Source organism: Homo sapiens, chromosome 18 (genome assembly GCF_000001405.40).
Source record: "Homo sapiens chromosome 18, GRCh38.p14 Primary Assembly".
Taxonomy (NCBI): Eukaryota; Metazoa; Chordata; class Mammalia; order Primates; family Hominidae; genus Homo; species Homo sapiens.
Genome location: NC_000018.10, coordinates 78658798 through 78677686, shown reverse-complemented (window position 1 = coordinate 78677686; position 18889 = coordinate 78658798). Strand labels below are relative to the sequence as shown.

General features: G+C 50.6%; 1 long non-coding RNA gene across 1 annotated transcript, besides 1 other annotated feature; it reads left to right on the top strand.

Moving 5' to 3' along the window:
• Positions 1 to 7246: 7246 nt before the first annotated feature.
• Positions 7247 to 13968, top strand: LOC124904330 (uncharacterized). The gene is made up of 2 exons (XR_007066423.1): positions 7247 to 7471; positions 11487 to 13968. It is a non-coding gene; the product is annotated as an uncharacterized LOC124904330 (long non-coding RNA).
• Positions 17589 to 18090: an enhancer, noted in NCBI's record as "H3K4me1 hESC enhancer chr18:76419597-76420098 (GRCh37/hg19 assembly coordinates)". NCBI's record gives its function as "activates a minimal SCP1, AML or CMV promoter by ChIP-STARR-seq in primed H9 embryonic stem cells {active_cell/tissue: H9 hESC(primed)}" and the evidence as "EXISTENCE:reporter gene assay evidence [ECO:0000049][PMID:30033119]".

The following is an 18889-nucleotide window of genomic DNA, read 5'->3' as shown; positions in this document are numbered from 1 at the left end:
AAGGAACAAAAGTCCTTGGCCTGGCTCAGCCGAGGGTGTGAGGGTCTCTCCACAACTGGGTGGGCGTGCAAAGCACATTTGACAGACTGTCTGCAGCTCCAGACCTTGGACTTAAAACATTTGGAAGATTATTAAAAACACGAGAAGGCTATGAACTGTTTTGAACAAAAAACTCCCTGCGGCCCACACTGAAACAAAGCTCCCCGTGGCCCACACTGGTGTGTTTCCCCCTCTGAGTAGATGGCTGTGAACTGTTTTGAACAAAGCTCCCCGCGGCCCACACTAAAGTGTGTTTCCTCTTCTGAGTAGGAGCGCCTGCACCTCTGTGTGGACACAGCCTCACCTCTCTTCACAGCGTGGCTGCCCCAGGGGTAGAGGAATCACCTGCCCCAATCAAACCTGTCTGGTGTCCACTGTTCCCTCTGGAGCGTCCGCATGCTGCCCTTAGCCACTTGGTTCCTCCCAGGCATCCCCATCCTTGGGGGTCATTTCCCTGGGCCTCTGACTGTGGTATTGGTGGCACTTTTGTATCAGCGAAGGAACCCCCCCTACCCCAGATGCTCTGTCTGTTTTAATGTCTAACCTGCTAGGGACACCCAAGGAATGGAAGGTGGAGAGGTGGACCTGGCAACTCTCCTGGGTGCCAAGGGGCTTTCAGCAGAGGGCAGAGGAGCTGCAACGATGGCCTCCGTTCACTGTGATGTTCCTCATCTCTTTTCTTGTGGGGGCTAAATAGACAGTGTGAGCAGGTGTTCAGGAGACTGGGAGCCCACTCCAGAGGCTGCACCTCGGGAAGGAGTCCTGCGGGTGTGGGATGGGCTCAGCAAATCCGTTGCTCACGTGGCTGCCTCCTGCTGCTGGCAGCTCTTCTTACTGAAGAAGGTAGGATGTGGGTCCAGGGTTCCATCATGGTGAAGACACAGGTGGGGATACAGCAGGGCAGTGCCGAAAATTCCACCAGATGCGTGGATCAATATGCTTCACTAATCTTGCGAGGAGTCCACACTAGGTCACAAAGACTCCAAATGCATCTCAGCGTGTGCTCCGCTCCAGCCCTGGAGAAATGCGGCATTGCGGTGGGATCAGAATCTGCTCCAGCCTTGGAGAAATGCGGCATTGCTGTGGGATCAGAATCTGCTCCAGTCTTGGAGAAATGCGGCATTGCTGTGGGATCAGAATCTGCTCCAGCCTTGGAGAAGTGCGGCATTGCGGTGGGATCAGAATCTGCTCCAGTCTTAGAGAAGCGCGGCCTTGCTGTGGGATTGGAATCTGCTCCAGCCCTGGAGAAATGCGGCATTGCGGTGGGATCGGAATCTGCTCCAGCCTTGGAGAAATGCGGCATTGCGGTGGGATCAGAATGTGCTCCAGTCTTGGAGAAGCGCGGCATTGCGGTGGGATCAGAATCTGCTCCAGCCTTGGAGAAGCGCGGCCTTGCTGTGGGATCAGAATCTGCTCCAGCCCTGGAGGAGCGTGGCATTGCTGTGGGATCGGAATCTGCTCCAGCTCTGGAGGAGCGTGGCATTGCTGTGGGATCGGAAGCATCACGGCACAGGGCTCCGTTCCAGCCCTGGACCAGCCTCGCAGAAGCAGGCATTGCTGTGGGATCAGAAGCATCACCGCACAGGGGATGAGTTACCAAGCAGGAGCTCTGCACCCCTGAATTCTAGGCCACGTGCTGTGAACTTTGAGACCTCACTCTTCTGGGCTTCGGCTTCCTGAGTGAACGGTGGGCAGGTGGGACACCCAATGGCTGAGGCTCCTTCGAGCTCGAACGTTCGGGACATCCGTGACTCAAGCACCGTCTGTATTTAAGATAAATAAATGGAGGCTCAGGAAAGGGAAGTGATCTGTCTTTACCAGGCTGAACCAGGACCAGCTCTGGATGGCCTGGATTTAAATTCCCAACTTTCCCTTCCACGGCACCGCATCCCAAGCCCTTCTATCTGCTACTGTTTGCATTCTGTAGAGAAAGAAAAAATAAGTTAGTGTAGAAACAAACAGAGGAAGGGTGGGAGAGCAGAGGCCACGGGCTCCTAAGGGCCTTGTGCTGAATCACACCTTCGCCCCAAGAGCCCAGGCCAATCACGGTCCTTCCTGGGTTCCTTACTTCCCTCTTTGGAAGGAGGGTGAGTGGTCTAGTTTGCAAAACTAGTTCTTGCAGCGGAGCTTGGCTGGGCCTCCAGGCGGCACCTTCTGCACCGTGTTGTCTTGTGTGCACATCTCCTGGAAAGTGTGGGATGCTCTCAGCACCATCGGGGTGTGCCAGGGGACCCTGCCCTTGCTCCCGCCCCTGTATTCCCAAGAGAGTGTTCTCCAGGGCGTCCTGGCCTCCTCTAATGGGAGCTGACCTGGCCAAAGCTGTGTTCTTGGTCCCCATGAGCATCAAGACCCTGAGGTGGGCAGCAGCAGTGGGATGTGGTAGTGAAGTGAGGAGTTTGCAGCCTCTAAGGACACAGACTTTTGATTTTTGGGGAACACTCAGGTCTTGTGAGACGGCTCTGCAAACCCAGGCAGGTATCTCGGTGTTTTCCTGGTCTGAGTGGTACACCCCCACTTCCCCCATCCGGAAAAAAAAAAAACTCCAACCTCCCACAAAACCTTGAGATAAGGAAGATGGAAAAGGGCTGGAGGTGAACAATGGGTTTCCTTCCTGCTCTCAGAGAGGCAGGGGTGTCAGGCAGTAAGAGTTCTGCCCTAGGAGAAACTCCATCCACTTGGAGGAAGAATGATGCCATAAAATGACATGGACCATGAACAGTCACGTTTTCATTTAAGCATCTCAGTTTGCATGAATCCTTGTAAATGTCACTCATCTTAGAATGGAGGGTCTTTGGCCGGGAGTGGTGGCTCACACCTGTAATCCCACCACCTTGGGAGGCCGAGGCAGGCAGACCACGAGGTCAGGAGTTCAAGACTAGCCTGACCAACATGGTGAAACCCCGTTTCTACTAAAAATACAAAAATTAGCTCGGCGTGGTGGCATGCACCTGTAATCCCAGCTACTCAGGAGGCTGAGGTGGGAGAATCGCTTCAACCCTGGAGGTGGAGGTTGCAGTGAGCTGAGATCGCACCACTGTACTCCAGCTTGGGTGACAGAGCAAGACTCCATCTCAAAAAAAAAAAAATAATGGAAGCTCTTTGATGGGAGGGAACTCGAGTCTCTTCTGCAGCTCCAAGTAATTTTCATCGTGCGTTTTCCCAGGCACTTAGGGGAGGGAGGCGAGTGAGCTGGTGCCCAGCGCCGTTCCTTACCCCCACCTTGCTGGTTGTCACCCAGGGAATGTACAAAGTCAGGACACAAAGATGTGTAAGAATAGAGCTCCTCCTTAGAGGGTCTTAACTGTAAACTATGTGATATCTTAAACCTCATTTCCTCATCTAGAGGTAATACAACTTTGATCTGCTTACTTCAAAGGGCTGTGGCTCAGTTTGGCAATTGTTTACCAGTGCGGCCCGACTACCTGCTGAGGGGTGGACAGACACAAACGGGGCCCTCAGGAGCTGACCCCATGGCGGGGAATCCTGAGAGGGGTGTGGGGGCTGCGGTTTGAGCCTAGGTGGTGGAGCAGCAGCACAGACCAGTCTGTCCCACCAGGGTCCACGTGCATGAGGGCTGGAGAGCGGTAGCCGCGTGAGCTCCTAGGAACCTGGAGAGAGGGGCAGCAGCGTGTCACTCCATGTGCTCGTGTCCTGGCAGAGGCTCTTCTGCGCTGAGTGTGGCATTAACTATCCGAGACTCCCCCCCAGCCTCCCCAGGAGCTGGGACTGAGGCTGAACAGAGACATCCAGACACAAATGCCTGTGTTGCTAGTGCCACTGTGACTATGGACGGGAGAGTGGTCCCGTGGTCCCTTTGCACAGACCCTGCCTGGATGCAGCTCCCAGAGGAGGGCCAAGAGGAGTGCCAGTGCCCATGGTGGGGCATGAGGGGCCTGGGGCTGCTGTGCCCAGCACCATGGACCAGACGGTCTAAACCACAGAAATTTATCCTCACTGTTCTCCTTCTGGAGGCTCCAGGGAGGACCCTTCCCTGCCTCCCCCAGCTCTGGTCCTCCGGCTCCGGGGCTTGCAGAAGCCTCAGTCCAGCCCTGTCTTCCCAGGGTGTTGGTGTCTGCACCCACATTTCCCTCGTTTCATGAAGTGGCCACTCACCTGACATTCCACTGTGGCCTCGTCTTAACTCACTGATGGCATTTGATGGCCCTGTTTCCAAACAGTCACATCCCTGGCACAGTGGGTAGGACGTCCACACATCTCTTTGGGGAACACGGCTCTGTCTATAGCATGGAGCGTGGATTCTGGTGTGAGAGCACGCATCCTGAGAGGTGACCCACAGCAGGACCCCAGGGGCTGGTGGGGGCCACGGCACCCAGCCTAAGGGAGCAGAGGGGGCTGGAAGAGACCCACCGTGCAGAATCCGGGGGCAGCGGCTCCACATGTGAACTCAGGCTTCTCCAGAGAAGTTTGCTGTGCGGACAGAGAAGTGGGAGTGCTTTCCCGAGGGTGGGGCTGGTGTCTGACAAATAGGTGGTGGAAGGGGCCAAACACTCAAACTGCAGCAGCAGCTGCAAACCCGTGCCAGCCCCCTCGAGGGCCACGCTCCAAGCCCAGGCCTCGTTCAGCCCCTGTGACCTGCTGGGAGGCCTCTGTGGCCAGCGCAGTCCTGGGCTGCTCCGGTAGTTGGCGTCGGTTCTGCTCGCCCAGGAGGATCTGCTCCCCAGGGGGTGCCGTGAGAAGTGTGTTGTGCACCTGGCTTCTCATTCCTTTCTTTGATGGCCAAGAACTGCCTGTCTTGTCAAGTCCAAGTTAAAGTCGCTTCTGGAAAATGGAAAACAGGGAAAGAATAGTACTTCAGATTACATGTCCTTTTGTACTAAAAGGGTGTTTACCATTTTTACATTAATATAATAATTCATGCGGCCTTCCCTGGGCAGAACTGCATTAGATGAGGAAATTTGTGAACCCTCAGATGGGAATGGCCTTACATATGGCTTATTTCATATGACTAAGATCAAAAGAAAAATAAACCTTTACTGGAGTTTCTTAACTATTTTCAGATCTAAGGAGATAAAGAGGCACTGCATAAACTCTTATTCACTATGAAACTTTCCACATTGAAATAATAGTGGTTAATATGATTGACGAGAACTTTCTCCTCGTTGGTGGGCAGTGGTCCTTGCAACTTTCATGTTTTAACAAAATGATTGGTGGAGTTGCCTCCCTGGATCCCCTCCATGTTTTTGTGTTTGTGGGGGAATGCCTGAGAGATGAAGCAAGAAACACATTCTGTTCTATTTCTTTTTTTTTTTTTTTTTTTTTTTTTTTGAGACAGAGTCTCGCTCTGTCGCCCAGGCTGGAGTGCAGTGGTGTGATCTCGGCTCACTGCAAGCTCCGCCTCCCAGGTTCACGCCATTCTCCTACCTCAGCCTCCCGAGCAGCTGGGACTACAGGCGCCCGCCACCACGCCCGGCTAATTTTTTGTATTTTTAGTAGAGACGGGGTTTCACCATGTTAGCCAGGATGGTCTCGATCTCCTGACTTCGTGATCTGCCCGCCTCGGCCTCCCAAAGTGCTGGGATTACAGGCGTGAGCCACCATGCCCAATCCACATTCTGTTCTATTTCTGACGCTCTCCTCATACCTGAATTGGACGTCTTCAGAATGAGAAGGGGTCATCTCCTGGCATTTTTCATAGCTGGTTTAGTAAATTATTTGACCTGGAATGAACACTGGGGCATTTACCTGTGTGAACACTGTTGGATACCACTTGAGGGTGTGATATCAAACTGGGTCGCCATGACCCCAGTGACTTTGTGTTTTGTTTTCTGTTTTCCAGAGGATGCGTGAGGACCCTCGGAGCTCCGGGGTACGACACAGGACCACGTGGCTTCATGGACCATGGACAGAGCATTTGTCTGCGACCTTCCTCCTGCAAGCCCAGAAAGTCCATGTGACGGGTGTCCATCTGTGCAGCGGGTCCACTTCCACTGCGTTTGACAATTGCGTGGTTGCTGTGGCTCTGTGACCTTCTTAATGAGCTATTTATGTGCTGTTCCTTCATTTCGAGGCCAGTGTAACTTTGGGTTCAACTTCCTGGGTCCAAAAAGCCAGCTGCCCCCACCCCGAGAGCCGTGCGGTCTCTGAGGATGCCCTGAACACACTCAGCCTGGATCTCCTCTCAGAAACACCTGAAGCCAGGCTGCCTGAGTGTGGAAGGGGTGTGGAAAGTGAGCCTGGGACACTGTTACCACATCATTAGTGTTGTTCACTGTTTCCATTTACTACCACGGCACAACTGCAAGTATGAACGCCTCCCAAACTGAAAATGCCAAACTCCTAAGCTTCCCCTGCTTAAAAACACGCAGCGTGCAGAATTCAGTTTGTCACATCTCAACTTTATTCCCTTTATCCAGGAGCCCCCTTGCGCAGGTTTCACTCTTGCTGTGATCAGAGAGAAGACGGGCCTCCCTTCAAGCTCCCTCCCCCGCCCGGCTATTCAGTGTCCCCAGGTGAGGAGGCCCAGGGTTCAATTACGAGTGGGGAAAGATGAAAGGGCAGGAAATGGCTGCTGTGGCCTCAGAGGAAATATTTGCAGAAAAAGGAGCACAACAGCAAATAAAGTGCTAATTAATGTCCAATTCCAGGGCTGATAAACGGACCACAGCAGTGGGCAGCACCGAGCCGCCTTCCAAGAGGAGAACACAGCTCTCCCCACCGTCCCTGCCACAGCGGGTTTGGAAAGACAGGGCCTTCCATGCCTGCCCATAACCTTCAGGGTGAGTATTCCAGGCTGATTTTCCTCAGGGAGGATCTTTGAATCTTCCTGGGGTGTACGGCCTGCCCATAACCTTCAGGGTGAGTATTCCAGGCTGATTTTCCTTGGGGAGAATCTTTGAAACTTCCTGGGGTGTAGGGGAGCTCTTTTTCCCTCTGGGTACTGGGAACTTTCATTGCTCTTTTAAACTCTGCCCCAGGCTCCAGGTGACCAAGGCATTTTCTGTGGGTGGTGTGGGGTGGGTGGGGAAGGAGGGATGGAGGTGGGGAGGGGGCGGTGTTTGGTAGGAAAAAAAGATCCTCCACTTCAAACTTTGCTTAACATTTCCTGGGACTTTTACATAAGCTGTAAAGAGAAGTTTGCATTTTTAGGAAAACAATACAAGAAAAGCTAGTATTTAAGAAAAGTTAATATTTTTCTTTACTACTGGTATTTATTATTATGTATTTTATGTCATGTGTGCATGGGCAGGTGGCCGTTATCTCAGGAGAGAGAAGTGAAGAATGAGTGGAATCTTGCACTTCTGCATCCAAATGATCACCCATCAGTACATTCTGATTCAAATATAAAGTGAAAAAGATAAAATCTGTGGAGAAGCTGCGTTCCTGGAGGCTCACCGTTCATGTAGACCTACTCATTCCCCCGAGCATGCTGAGTCCAGCCTTGCAGATAAAGAATTTAACCCAGAAAGAAAAGGTATTTGGTAGATACTTTATTTTGTGCAGTCTTTTAATGTAACTTCACTTTAGGCCACAGCGAACCTCTCAGGCAATAGGTTGAAATCTTGGGGGTGTGTGGAAGGCAGCCATATAGCTCAGCCCTGTAGGTTGAAGTGGACCTTGTAAGTCTCACCTTTTCATCTACTAAATCCTTAGTACTGTTGAGTAAGAGTATATGCTCTCATTGTAGCAAAAAATACAGCTTCTGTGATCTTGCAATTGGTACCCACGTTTGACTAAATGTGTTGTGGAAGAACAAAATGAAAAGCCTCCATCAGCCAGCGGATGTCATGATAATTATTTCTGGTGTGAGTATCAGAGAATCACATCTTAAGGTGGGGTTTTTTTGGGAGTTGCTGATGAGTGAATGCCAGAAATAATAATCTGACATTAAGCCTTTGTGAATCTGACCAAATGAATGTCGAAGAAGAGAATTTATGGTGAAGTCAGATTGCATGCTATTTCATGAATGCATTTCTTTTAGAATGTAAATGACAGAAAAATTATTCATTATACCTATAATCAAACTACAAGTTTAATAGATAATGAAAATGCACACAGAAACTATTAAAATGACACCAGAAATATGGCTTCAATCAACAAAAGGCAAGACATTCAAAGTGAGTCTTGCAAACTTTAACAAAAATGCTTTTATTGCTCCAGATCAGGAGGGCTCTTCAATGCTGGGAGCAGTTTAATGTCTGGGACTCTGCGTGCTCCAAATCTTTTGATAGAAAATCATGCCTTGGGAAAAGCATTTTTATGTAGTTTTTTCATGATTTGAGTATCACAGAGGATTTTGCAGAATAATTTGGGAATAAAGTCTCAGAGCAAAAATTACGAGAGCAAATGGTTACAAGGTTGTTAAAAAAAATCTAGTGTAGAAAGGGTATAGTTTCCTAAGAGGAGTTAGGTTTTTGTTTTGTTTTTCAAGACAGGGTCTCACTCTGTTGCCCAGACTGGAGTACAGTGGTGCGATCACAGCTCACTGCAGCCTCAAACTCCTGGGCTTGAGAGATCGTCCTGCCCCGGCTTCCCAAGTAACTGGAATCACAGGTGCCCCCCACCGTGCCCAGCTACGTTTTTTATTTTTTGCAGATAGTGTCTCACTATGTTGCCCAGGGTCATCTCAAACTCCTGGCCTCAAGTTATCCTCCCACCTTGGCCTCCCGAAGTGTTGGGATTACAACAAACATGAGCCACTGTGTCCAGCCAAGGACTTAGGTTTTAACGGGGGAAAGAGCTTTGGCTTCCCTCTGAATTTTCTCCTTTCCATTTGAGCTTAATTGAATCTTTGATTTTTCACATGAAACACATCTCCAATCCATCTCCTTCCTGTATCTCCACATGTTCAGGAGAGTCTGAGTTGAATCAGACAACACTCTTGCTTTGCATTTGTGGGTCTTTTGTGGCCTCATGACATTGAAGAGACAGGAGAGTTGGCTGAAGCTGAGTGTCATGGGTAGGCCTTGCTGTAGGAAATTTGGAAAGAGCTGGTCATTTTCATCTGATTGAAGCTGGCTCCATGCAAACCTCACCAGGGATCCCCTGAAAATGACCCCTCCCCAGTGGGCCCCAGCATCAAGCTCCCTTGAGGATGCCAGCCCCGGGCCTGGGAGAAGCAGCTCGTGCCTCCTCTCTGTGTCTGCCTATTTGTGTTGCTGCAACAAAACACCTGAGACTGGGTCATTTATAAGGAACAGAAATTTATCTCTCACAGTTCTGGGGGCTGGGAAGCCAAGATCCAAGCACTGGCAGATTTGGTGTTGGTGAGGGCTTGGTGTCTGTGTCAAGATGGTGCCTCTTGCTGGACGCCCCTGAGGGGATGAGATTTGGTGTTGGTGAGGGCTTGGTCTCTGTGTCAAGATGGCGCCTCTTGCTGGACGCCCCTGAGGGGATGAGATTTGGTGTTGGTGAGGGCTTGGTCTCTGTGTCAAGATGGCGCCTCTTGCTGGACGCCCCTGAGGGGATGAGATTTGGTGTTGGTGAGGGCTTGGTGTCTGTGTCAAGATGGTGCCTCTTGCTGGACCCTCTGAGGGGATGAGACTTGGTGTTGGTGAGGGCTTGGTCTCTGTGTCAAGATGGCACCTCTTGCTGGATCCCATTGAGGGGATGAGAGCCTGTCCTTACACGGGAGGGAGGAAGGGTGGATTGGGGACGGATGGGAGGGAGTATGGGGGTGGGATGGGAGGGCAGATGGGGGAAGAGATGGAAGGGTGGCTAGGGGAGAGGTGGGAGGGTGGATGGGGGAGGGTGGATGGGGTAGGGTTGGGAGGGTGGATGGGGGAAGGATGAGAGGGCGGATAAGGGGAAGGGTGGGAGGGTGGATGGGGAGGAGTGAGAGGGCAGATGGGGAAGCGGGGTAGGATGGATGGGGAGGGGTGGGAGGGTGGATGGGAGAGGGGTAGGGTGGATGGGGAGGGGTGGGAGGGTGGATGGGAGAGGGGTGGGAGGGCGGATGGGGGGGATGGGGGAAGGATGAGAGACAAAGGGGAGGGTGGGAAGAGCCCAGCTGCTTCCTTCCAGCAGCCCTCAGGGCCTCATCACTTCCTGGGCCCCACCTCTTAATACTGCTGCTTCGGAGCTTCCCTTTCAACATGGATTTTTGAGGGACACAAACGTTCAAAACATGGCAGCCCCATCGGCCCCCTCTTGCTCTCCACTCCATGTTTCTAAAGGCTATTTAAATGCTTAAGGTTTAATGTTTTAGGCGGTAACTTGTTCCTTGCTTTTACAAAAAGGCAACTTTGAATTTCAGTTTGGACTCAGGTATTATTCTCTTGTATGTAAACAATTTCCCTATTCCTTATGGCTTGGAATCGAACTGAATTTTGACTTTTGAAACAATTTATAGTGTATGATGAATAAATTGTAAGTGACTTTAGTTAAACAGTGAACAGTAGCCCCTCCTCATCCTCTCCTGTGTGTCTTTTCCAATGTTCCTGTCTTATGAGAGGGCCTGGGGGCCCGTATGTGCCCAGTGCTCAGCTCTTCCACCCTGAGTGTGAGTCCTGCTGTGCCACCTCCTGCCCCACTCCAGGCCCGAGGGTGACCCACATCAGGATCCGGCCTTGTTCACCCACTTGGCACCTTCTCTTCCCCCTCCACGAGCTATGTCCTCTCAGAATCCTGGGTTGCTCCGTGCCTGACCCTGCTGCTGCCCCAGCTACTTCGCTGTTCAATGTCCACCTCGGTCCCCTACCCAGTTCTCATTTCTCCTTCCATCAGACTCCTGCATTTTCTCCTTGAGGAAGCCCTTGGCTGCCCCTGCCTCCCAGGGACAGTGTGGCTGTGGATGGAGGCGGCCCAGGCCCGTTCTCTGGTGCCTGCCCTTGGCCTGCGAGGGCACTTGCCCTGCAGAAGGAGGCCCTCTTCTCCCACAGCCCAGGCAATGGCCAGCACCGACTGCAAGGCACTTCAGAGCAGGGTTCGAGCTGCAAAAGCACTTTGGCTTTGTGCTCTGGGCTGGATTTGTCCTGAGACCCAGTTCGCCAGGAGCCCCCCTTCCTCTCCTGCACACCCCACCCTCGAAGGGGTTTCTTCTTGGTTCTTCCCTACAGCATGTGGTCCCACATCCCCCTCTCAGGATCTGCTTGTAGGAAACACTATTTAAGACAGATATTGTTTTTTAAAAAATTACTGATCTTAAAATTATTTTGGGATGCTAGCTTTAAGGTTTCACCAAGGAAATAATAACTTTGTTTTTTTTTTTTTTTTTTGGTAATTTTTGCAAACCTAATTTGGGTTTGGGTAAATCTAGAAATTTACCTTCTAAAATCATGTATGTAGATTTCCCATAAAAGCTTGTGATGGAAGGTGTTTACTTAAAAAAAAAAAGTAGATTTGTCAATTATTTGATTTAATTTCATAAAGGAGTTAAATTGAATAATTCAGGGAAAAATATTTTGAAGGCTGAGTTAGTTTATCTGATTCTTTTGCATTAATGAAAGTATTTAAATACTTACTAAAAAAGCCACTTTTCCTATTTCCAGGTTTCCTCATTCGAAAGTGCGCTGAAAATACTGCACATGTGTGAATTCGAGAATAACCGCTCGGGGAGTGGGCGAGGTCGAGGTTTGAATTATCCTGGTAGAAACATGCTTTTGCCCATTTTCTTAAACATCGTGAATCCACTTCCAGCCAGTTGTACACATTATGAGGGGGAAATATTTTAAGGGAGAATTTACTAGTTATCTCAAAATTTCATTGGCAAAGACTGACTTAGAGAGGAAATATACATTGAAAAATTAATTTTCCGACTTTGGCTTCGTCAAAAGCAAACTATGTTTCATTTCCCAGCCACATGCCCTCCACGGTGACGCCTGTTTGGTGGTTTCTGTGATGCGGTGAGACACACCCGGAAACAGCCTCGCTGAGTGCTCATCCGGCTCTAGGTCTTCTTGATCTAGTTCTGGAAAAACATCATACTGGAGGAGGCAGGAGCCCCAAAACCAGTGAGAGACAAGTCCGGTGCCCTGGGAAGAATGTTTCACTTCTCATGTGGACTTCCTGTTAATTTCTTCAGTGTGGCCCCAGGAAACAGTGCGTTTGAACCTTTGTACAGGCGCACTCCTCACAGTCGGAGGGCGGGATCACAGAGCACACGGAAGCCTACGCGGCTTCTGCCAAACACCATACTGACCCAGCTAAATGCTGCGGGTTCGTCTCATGCTCCTATTTTCCTGCCTTCACCTGTGGACCATCATGATGATGAAATAGAAAAATAAATGTAAAAAATACAGGCCTGAAACAGCAAGTTTCAAAGACAGCTCAAGTTGATAACAGTGGAGCACGTCTCGAAGTTTCCTTGCTAGGGCCATGAGTTTTGGGTGAATAATAACAAAAACATATGACAATCCATTAATCATTTTATATTTAATATGTAAAATGTATTTGTTAGGCCTTTATTTCAATGAAATTACTTATTTTTTTATAATTAAAGTTGTCACATAAGTTATCTTCCATTGAGTAATGATGGACTCAGGGTCAGCCGCCCTTGGACTAGACACCTGTTTTGTAAGTAAAGTTTTATTGGAACATGGCCATTCCCATTTTGTGATGTATCATCTATGGCTGCCTCCTCTCCGCTCTGCAGAGTCAATGGCTGCGACAGAGGCTGTGGCCACCAGGCCTAAAATATTGATGACTCAGCCTTTTCAGCAAATATTTTGAAACCCCTGATTTAAAGGACTGACAAGTAAAATATTGTATCCAAGGCATAACAATTTTTTTCTTTTTCTTTTTTCTTTCTTTCTTTCTTTCTTTCTTTTTTTTTTTGAGATGGAGTCTTGCTCTGTCGCCAGGCTGGAGTGCAGTGGTGTAATCTCGGCTCACTGCAATCTCCATCTCCCTGGTTCAAACCATTCTCCTGCCTCAGCCTCCTGAGTAGCTGGGACTACAGGTTCGTGCCACCATGCCCAGTTAATTTTTGTATTTTTAGTAGAGATGGGGTTTCACCATGTTGGCCAGGATGGTCTTGATCTCTTGAGCTTGGGATCCACCTGCCTTGGTCTCTCAAAGTGCTGGGATCACAGGCGTGAACCACTGTACCCGCTTGGTATAACAAATTTTAATATAGTTTTTATCAAAAACATAAATGTTAAAAATAAAAAAGCAAATTCAGCAATGCTTCAAAGTTATTTTTCTTATAAAATATTTCAAAATGACTAAAATTAAAGTGTACAATTCAGATGATAACATATTAAATGTTTAAATAAAAATTGTTAATTTTATTTACAGCTGAAACTCTAGAATTTTGGGGGAAATTTAATGAAGTGCTTTGATAAACTAAGATTACAATGCTAGCGTTCAGCCTCCATCCTGTTGCCAGGACAGCCATTCTCAGGAGCGCACAGTGCTGCTTAGCTGCTGTGGCGACTGCTGGGATTTGAGCACTTCTGGGATGACCCGCTGGGGTGTGAGAATGGGGGCCAGTGAACGCCGGTGGCGGAGGCAGCTGAGCGGGGCTGGGGGCCACACCCTGCTATGGGAGCCCGTCACCTCCGCACTCTCCTCTAGCAGAGAGTGTGCGAGAGTTTACGTATTTCTTTCTTCCCTGAGTGTCCTGTTGCCCCTGAAGCTGTGTCCACCTCTGAGGCTGCTCACACCTCCAACCCTCCTGGCATCGGGACAGTGGCCTTTTGTGTCCAGGAGAGAAGCAGTGGCCAGTGTGTGAGGAGGTCCCCTGAGAGCGGACGTTTAGGGGGATGGAGGACCTGAGTGCGGGGTACCCCACAGGAGGACGGTCCAGGATCCGTAAGAAATTTCCTGTGTCTGTGTTGTTGGTATGCAGATCCCTCTACATTTAGCCTTTGACAATTGTCACTCATTTTATTAAACCTCCCGGGTATTTATCCTCTGAAAAGTCGCCCTGGGCCAAAACTGCAGTTCATATTCAGGCAACTTCACAGCTTCTTCCCTGGATTCTGATCGTTTTCAAAAATAAAGACACCGAGTCTCTTGAAGTGAACTCCAGACGGTTTCTTTCTTGTCATCTTTCCTTCTGCATTTCTTCCTATCTAAGTAAGCAATGAAATGGGGAGAGGGGTAACAAAGAGAAGAAAGCATCAGAAGGATTTGTTTATAATCCTGACTTCATGTTTAAAATTGGATTTCCTAGACCAAAAAGCAAAAAAATCCGGGGATAGTTGTATATCTTATACTTTGAGAAGTCTTATGGGAATCTTATGGGAAAATAATATCTTTACTTTGAACAGTCTACTGCCTGCCTGGTGATGAACTGAAGAAGAGGCTGACCAAGGCTGGGATCTGCCCAGCCTAGCTGAGGTTAGGAGTTTGCCCAGCCTAGCTGAGGTTAGGAGTTTGCTTGGCACACAGAACAGCGTCCTCAGACTTCCCTAGTGAAATTATCCTGGGGAGTTAACTTCTTTTCGTTGAGAACCTTAACATAAAATCCTAATGCTATTGCAGACTAGATTCTAGACATAAGAAGAAAAGAAAGAAGTTGGGTATGTGTTTTTCCCAGTTATTATTTTTCTCAATCTCTGGTCATAGGCGGGGTGGGCGCCTCCCACCCGGCCCTCCCCCAGGGCCATACTGTCCCTGATTGCCGGCCACCTTGGGGTCCCGTCCCTTTCCCTGCATGGCGCCCCTGATGTGCCTGCCATCTCTGTCTTGAAGAACAGGGCTGGTCACAGCTGCTCCGGCTCTGAGTTGGCCTGTGATTCCTCATTAGCTGCAGAATGACTCGGAGGTTCTTAGCCTGACCCTGTGAAGCCCACAGAACATTCTGGATGTTGCCTCTCTTTTCTGCTTTACACACCTGTCACGTGTGGCAGGTCTCCCTCAGGCTTTACTTCCCATCCACACACCTTAACATGTCCAGTCCCGACGCTAAGCACATGATCACACTCATGTGCAGAATGGCTGGGTGAGGATCCGACCTGGGTCACTGGCCTGAGAACTTGTGCAGGGGACCTACGCCCTCTGAGCTCTCCAAGGGGGAGAGAATCACATCTCACGGCCTCTATAGCTTGGGTAGCTCTGAGTGTAGAAGCATCTGCACAGCATCTTTCATTTCTATCCTTCCTCCCAGCTGCTTGGAAGGCTGAGGCCAGAGGATCACTTGAGCCCAGAAGTTCAAGGTTGTGGCGAGCTATGATCCTGCCACTGCACTTTAGCTTGGGTGACTGAGCGAGACCCTATCTCAAAAAAAGAAAAAGAAAGAGAAAAAGACTTGACTGCAATGGCATTTTAAAAATACAATTCACGTGACACCTCCACAAACAAACAGGCCAACAATCGTTCCTTTACTTGAACTTTAATGTGTGGTACCTGTACCTCTTTCTGGTACAAAGCTATAAGGAAATCAATGACAATCAAGCTTCTTCTCTGTTCAAATGCAGGCAGATGACAGAACTGTTTTGAATTCTCCTGTTATTTTCTTATTGGAGTAGTTTATGATGGTGGGTTTTAGTTTGAATATTAATTAATTAATTAATTAATTTTTTGAGACAGAGTCTCGCTCTGTTGCCCAGGCTGGAGTGCAGTGGTGACATCTTGGCTCACTGCAACTGCCACCTCCCGGGTTCAAGTGATTGTCCTGGCTCAGCCTCCCGAGTAGCTGGGACGACAGGCGTGCACCACCACGCCCAGCTGATTTTTGTATTGTTGGTGAAGACAGGGTTTCGCTGTATTGGTTAGGCTGGTCTCAAACTACTGACCTCAAGTGATCTGCCTGCCTTGGCCTCCCAAAGTGCTGGGATTACAGGTGTGAGCCATCATGCCTGGCCTGTTTGAATACTTTTAATGGATCTACACAGTTCCTTGTGAATTAAAAAAAGAAGAAATGAAGGTAGCTATAGAGGGTAACTCTCTAAGGTGCATATGTTGGTCTTTTACTTCCTGAGGCAATGTTTTAAAATTTATCAAAAATAGATTTTGAAGCTCTTTGGTCTCATATTCACAAGTCCATATATTTCAGACCCTTTTCTGCTGCCCTCAACACTGGATCCCCAGACTCCCTCCTCTTCCTGCTCCACCCAACAAAAGTGGGAGGTGGGTTGAGGGAAGGTGAGTTCGGGCCATTCTCTCACTGGAGGAGGGACAAGGAGGTCCTGTGGCTCGTGGCCATGATCCTGTACCTGGTCACCCGTTCTACTAGGCAGCCATCCCCAGACTGGAGTTGACTCTATCCATGTCTGCAGGGGCGGGTGCCTGACCTGGGCTCTGCACCTTCCTGTGACTGTATCTGCTGGGGTGGGTGCCTGACCTCCGTTCTGCACCTTCCTGTGCCTTTATCCATGTCTGCTGGGGTGGGTGCCGGACCTCCATTCTGCTCTGGAGTTTGAGGGTCTTTGTACCGCTTGCTATAATCACGGGGCTTCACGCACAGCCATGCATCATTCCTGCTTTGGCTGGTGGGTTTAGTGTGTGCTACAGATGGGAGGGGTTTGTGAACCTTCTCGACACTGGCTGCCATCACACGGGTTACACACGAGGCCCAGGTTACAGGAGGCTTCAATGTATTTTAGAATCTTGACATATGTTCCCTTCTCTCGTCACCCGCGACGTGTTCTACGACAAGGTCCTATTTCTTTCTGCCCGCATTGTTGGTGGTGCTAATTCCCTAGTAGGATGGATGACAGAAGGAAGGAGACATCTCAGGCTTGTCTTTAGGGGCCTCACAGTCTATTTTAGCTGAAAAAACTAACGCTGACGGATTGCATGGCAATGACTTCTTGCTTAGACGTGTGATGTGACAGATGGAAACCATGAGGAGCAAAGCCCTCGTGCATGCGGCCTGGAGAGACTGGGACCTTCTCAACTGGCCATGGGAGAGAAGCTGCATTATTCACAGCAGTGCAGGCTGTGGGACTCCCGGTCCTGTGGGATGGATGGGCCTCGCTTTAGGCCACTTGAAGCTAGTGTGGGCAAGATGGGCATTCTTGGAGGGCAGGAGGGAGAGAAGGGCGTCGCTCACAGTGAGAAAGCGGGTGGGAGACTGGCATGCAGTGTCACATGCAGCTTTCAGAGCTGGAGAAAACGGAACTCCCTGGCAATCTGGCAGTAGCCTGGCACAATTACATGTTTGAAAACTTCATTTCCACAAGAACTAGGAAGATAAGTTGCATTGACAAGGTCTTAAATCACAAAGTTTCCCCGAGACTCTGAAACGATTGTAGGCACTGGTTTTGTCTTGCAGTGGGGAGAGGCCAAGTGGCGAGAGGAGCCTCCCTGGCTGTCCTCAGCAGCACGGTGCATTTTGCAGCTGGGAAGCCCCATGGGGAATGGCTGGAGGCTCACGTTCAGGGCCTGAGGACGACAGTGGGTGCCACACACCACAGGTGGAATAGTGAGGGCAGGAGGGTGACGTCCAGGTCCTGAGGACGACAGTGGGTGCCACACACCGCAGGTGGAACAGTGAGGGCAGGAGGGTGACATCCAGGCCCTGAGGACGACAGTGGGTGCCACACACCACAGGTGGAATGGTGAGGGCAGGAGGGTGACATCCAGGCCCTGAGGATGACAGTGGGTGCCGCACACCACAGGTGGAATGGTGAAGGCAGGAGGGTGATGTCCAGGCCCTGAGGATGACAGTGGGTGCCACACACCACAGGTGCAGGTTGATGTCCAGGCCCTGAGGACGACAGTGGGTGCCGCACACCACAGGTGGAGTGGTGAGGGCAGGAGGGTGACGTCCAGGGACGCGGGGCTGCCTGGTGGGCTCCTTCGAGGAGCCTGTGTGGAAGTGGGCACAGATGCCTCAGGGCAGCAGTGCCACCACCTGGCCAGCCGCAGCCTCGCAGCCTCCACGTCGGAAGTCCCGGCATCCAGCCGTCTGCCGGAGGGGCTGGTGGTCCAGCCCATGCCTGCCAACATCTGGTGACAGGGCAGACAAAGCCCATGCCCCAGGGTGGCTGTGGGGAGTTCCCAGGGACAGCTGGGGGATGGTGGGTGCCCGGCGGGCAGGTCTCGTGGAGGAGAGCCCATGGGTGGTCTGCAGATGTGCCAGGAGCTGAGGGAGAAAGGAGACATCTCTCGGGAAGGTCTATAGGACAGTGTCCTGGGATGTCCTTTGGAACAGCTAACAGGCCCCCCTGAGACACGATGTGGTCTACACCACCCAACCTCATGCCAATGGCTCTTGCCAAAGGCTCTTGGAGAAGCCGGGTGCAGGGATGACGTGGTTCTCATGGGGTGACATCTGTGTGGAGACAGCTAGTTACGGCGCTGGCTGCATTTTCCAAACACCCCTGGGTCAGGCCCTAAACAGGTGGCTCTTTCTTCTAATTGCTAAAACGTCAAGACTTGCAGCTTGTCATTCTACCAATGGGGCACATGGCAGCACCAACTAGAGAATGAAACACTCACGCCCCTGCCCTCCCCGCTCCAGGGAAAGGGCAGCTCAGCCACCACAGTTCCAGGGCTGGCTCTGCACATCCATGAGGTGCTCTCGGCCTGTGGGCCGTGGAGGTGCGATTGCTTTGTTTTCTAAGGCAGGATGTGCCGAGAGCCACTTTTGCCTCACCTGTGGGGCCTTGTGTTGGGGGGTGGAAGGGCAATGGTGGCAGTCCCCTTCCTTGCATCGGATGGCGAATGGGCAGTGGTGACCTTCCCCCTCATTGCATCGAGGGGCGGATGGGCAGAGGTGGCCGTCCCCTTCATTGCGTCGAGGGGCAGATGGGCAGAGGTGGCCGTCACCCTCATTGTGTCGGGGGCAGATGGGCAGTGGTGACCGTCCCCCTCATTGCATTGAGGGGCGGATGGGCAGAGGTGACCGTCCCCTTCATTGTATTGTGTCCACACAGCCCCACGCTGGGTAACAGATGAAAATCACTATTACTTTAAAGTTGACCCTGGGGGCTTAGGCCATGCTTCCACAAGGCCACTGGACTTCTGAAAAAATGGGCCACCATCCTGATCTACCTGTTGT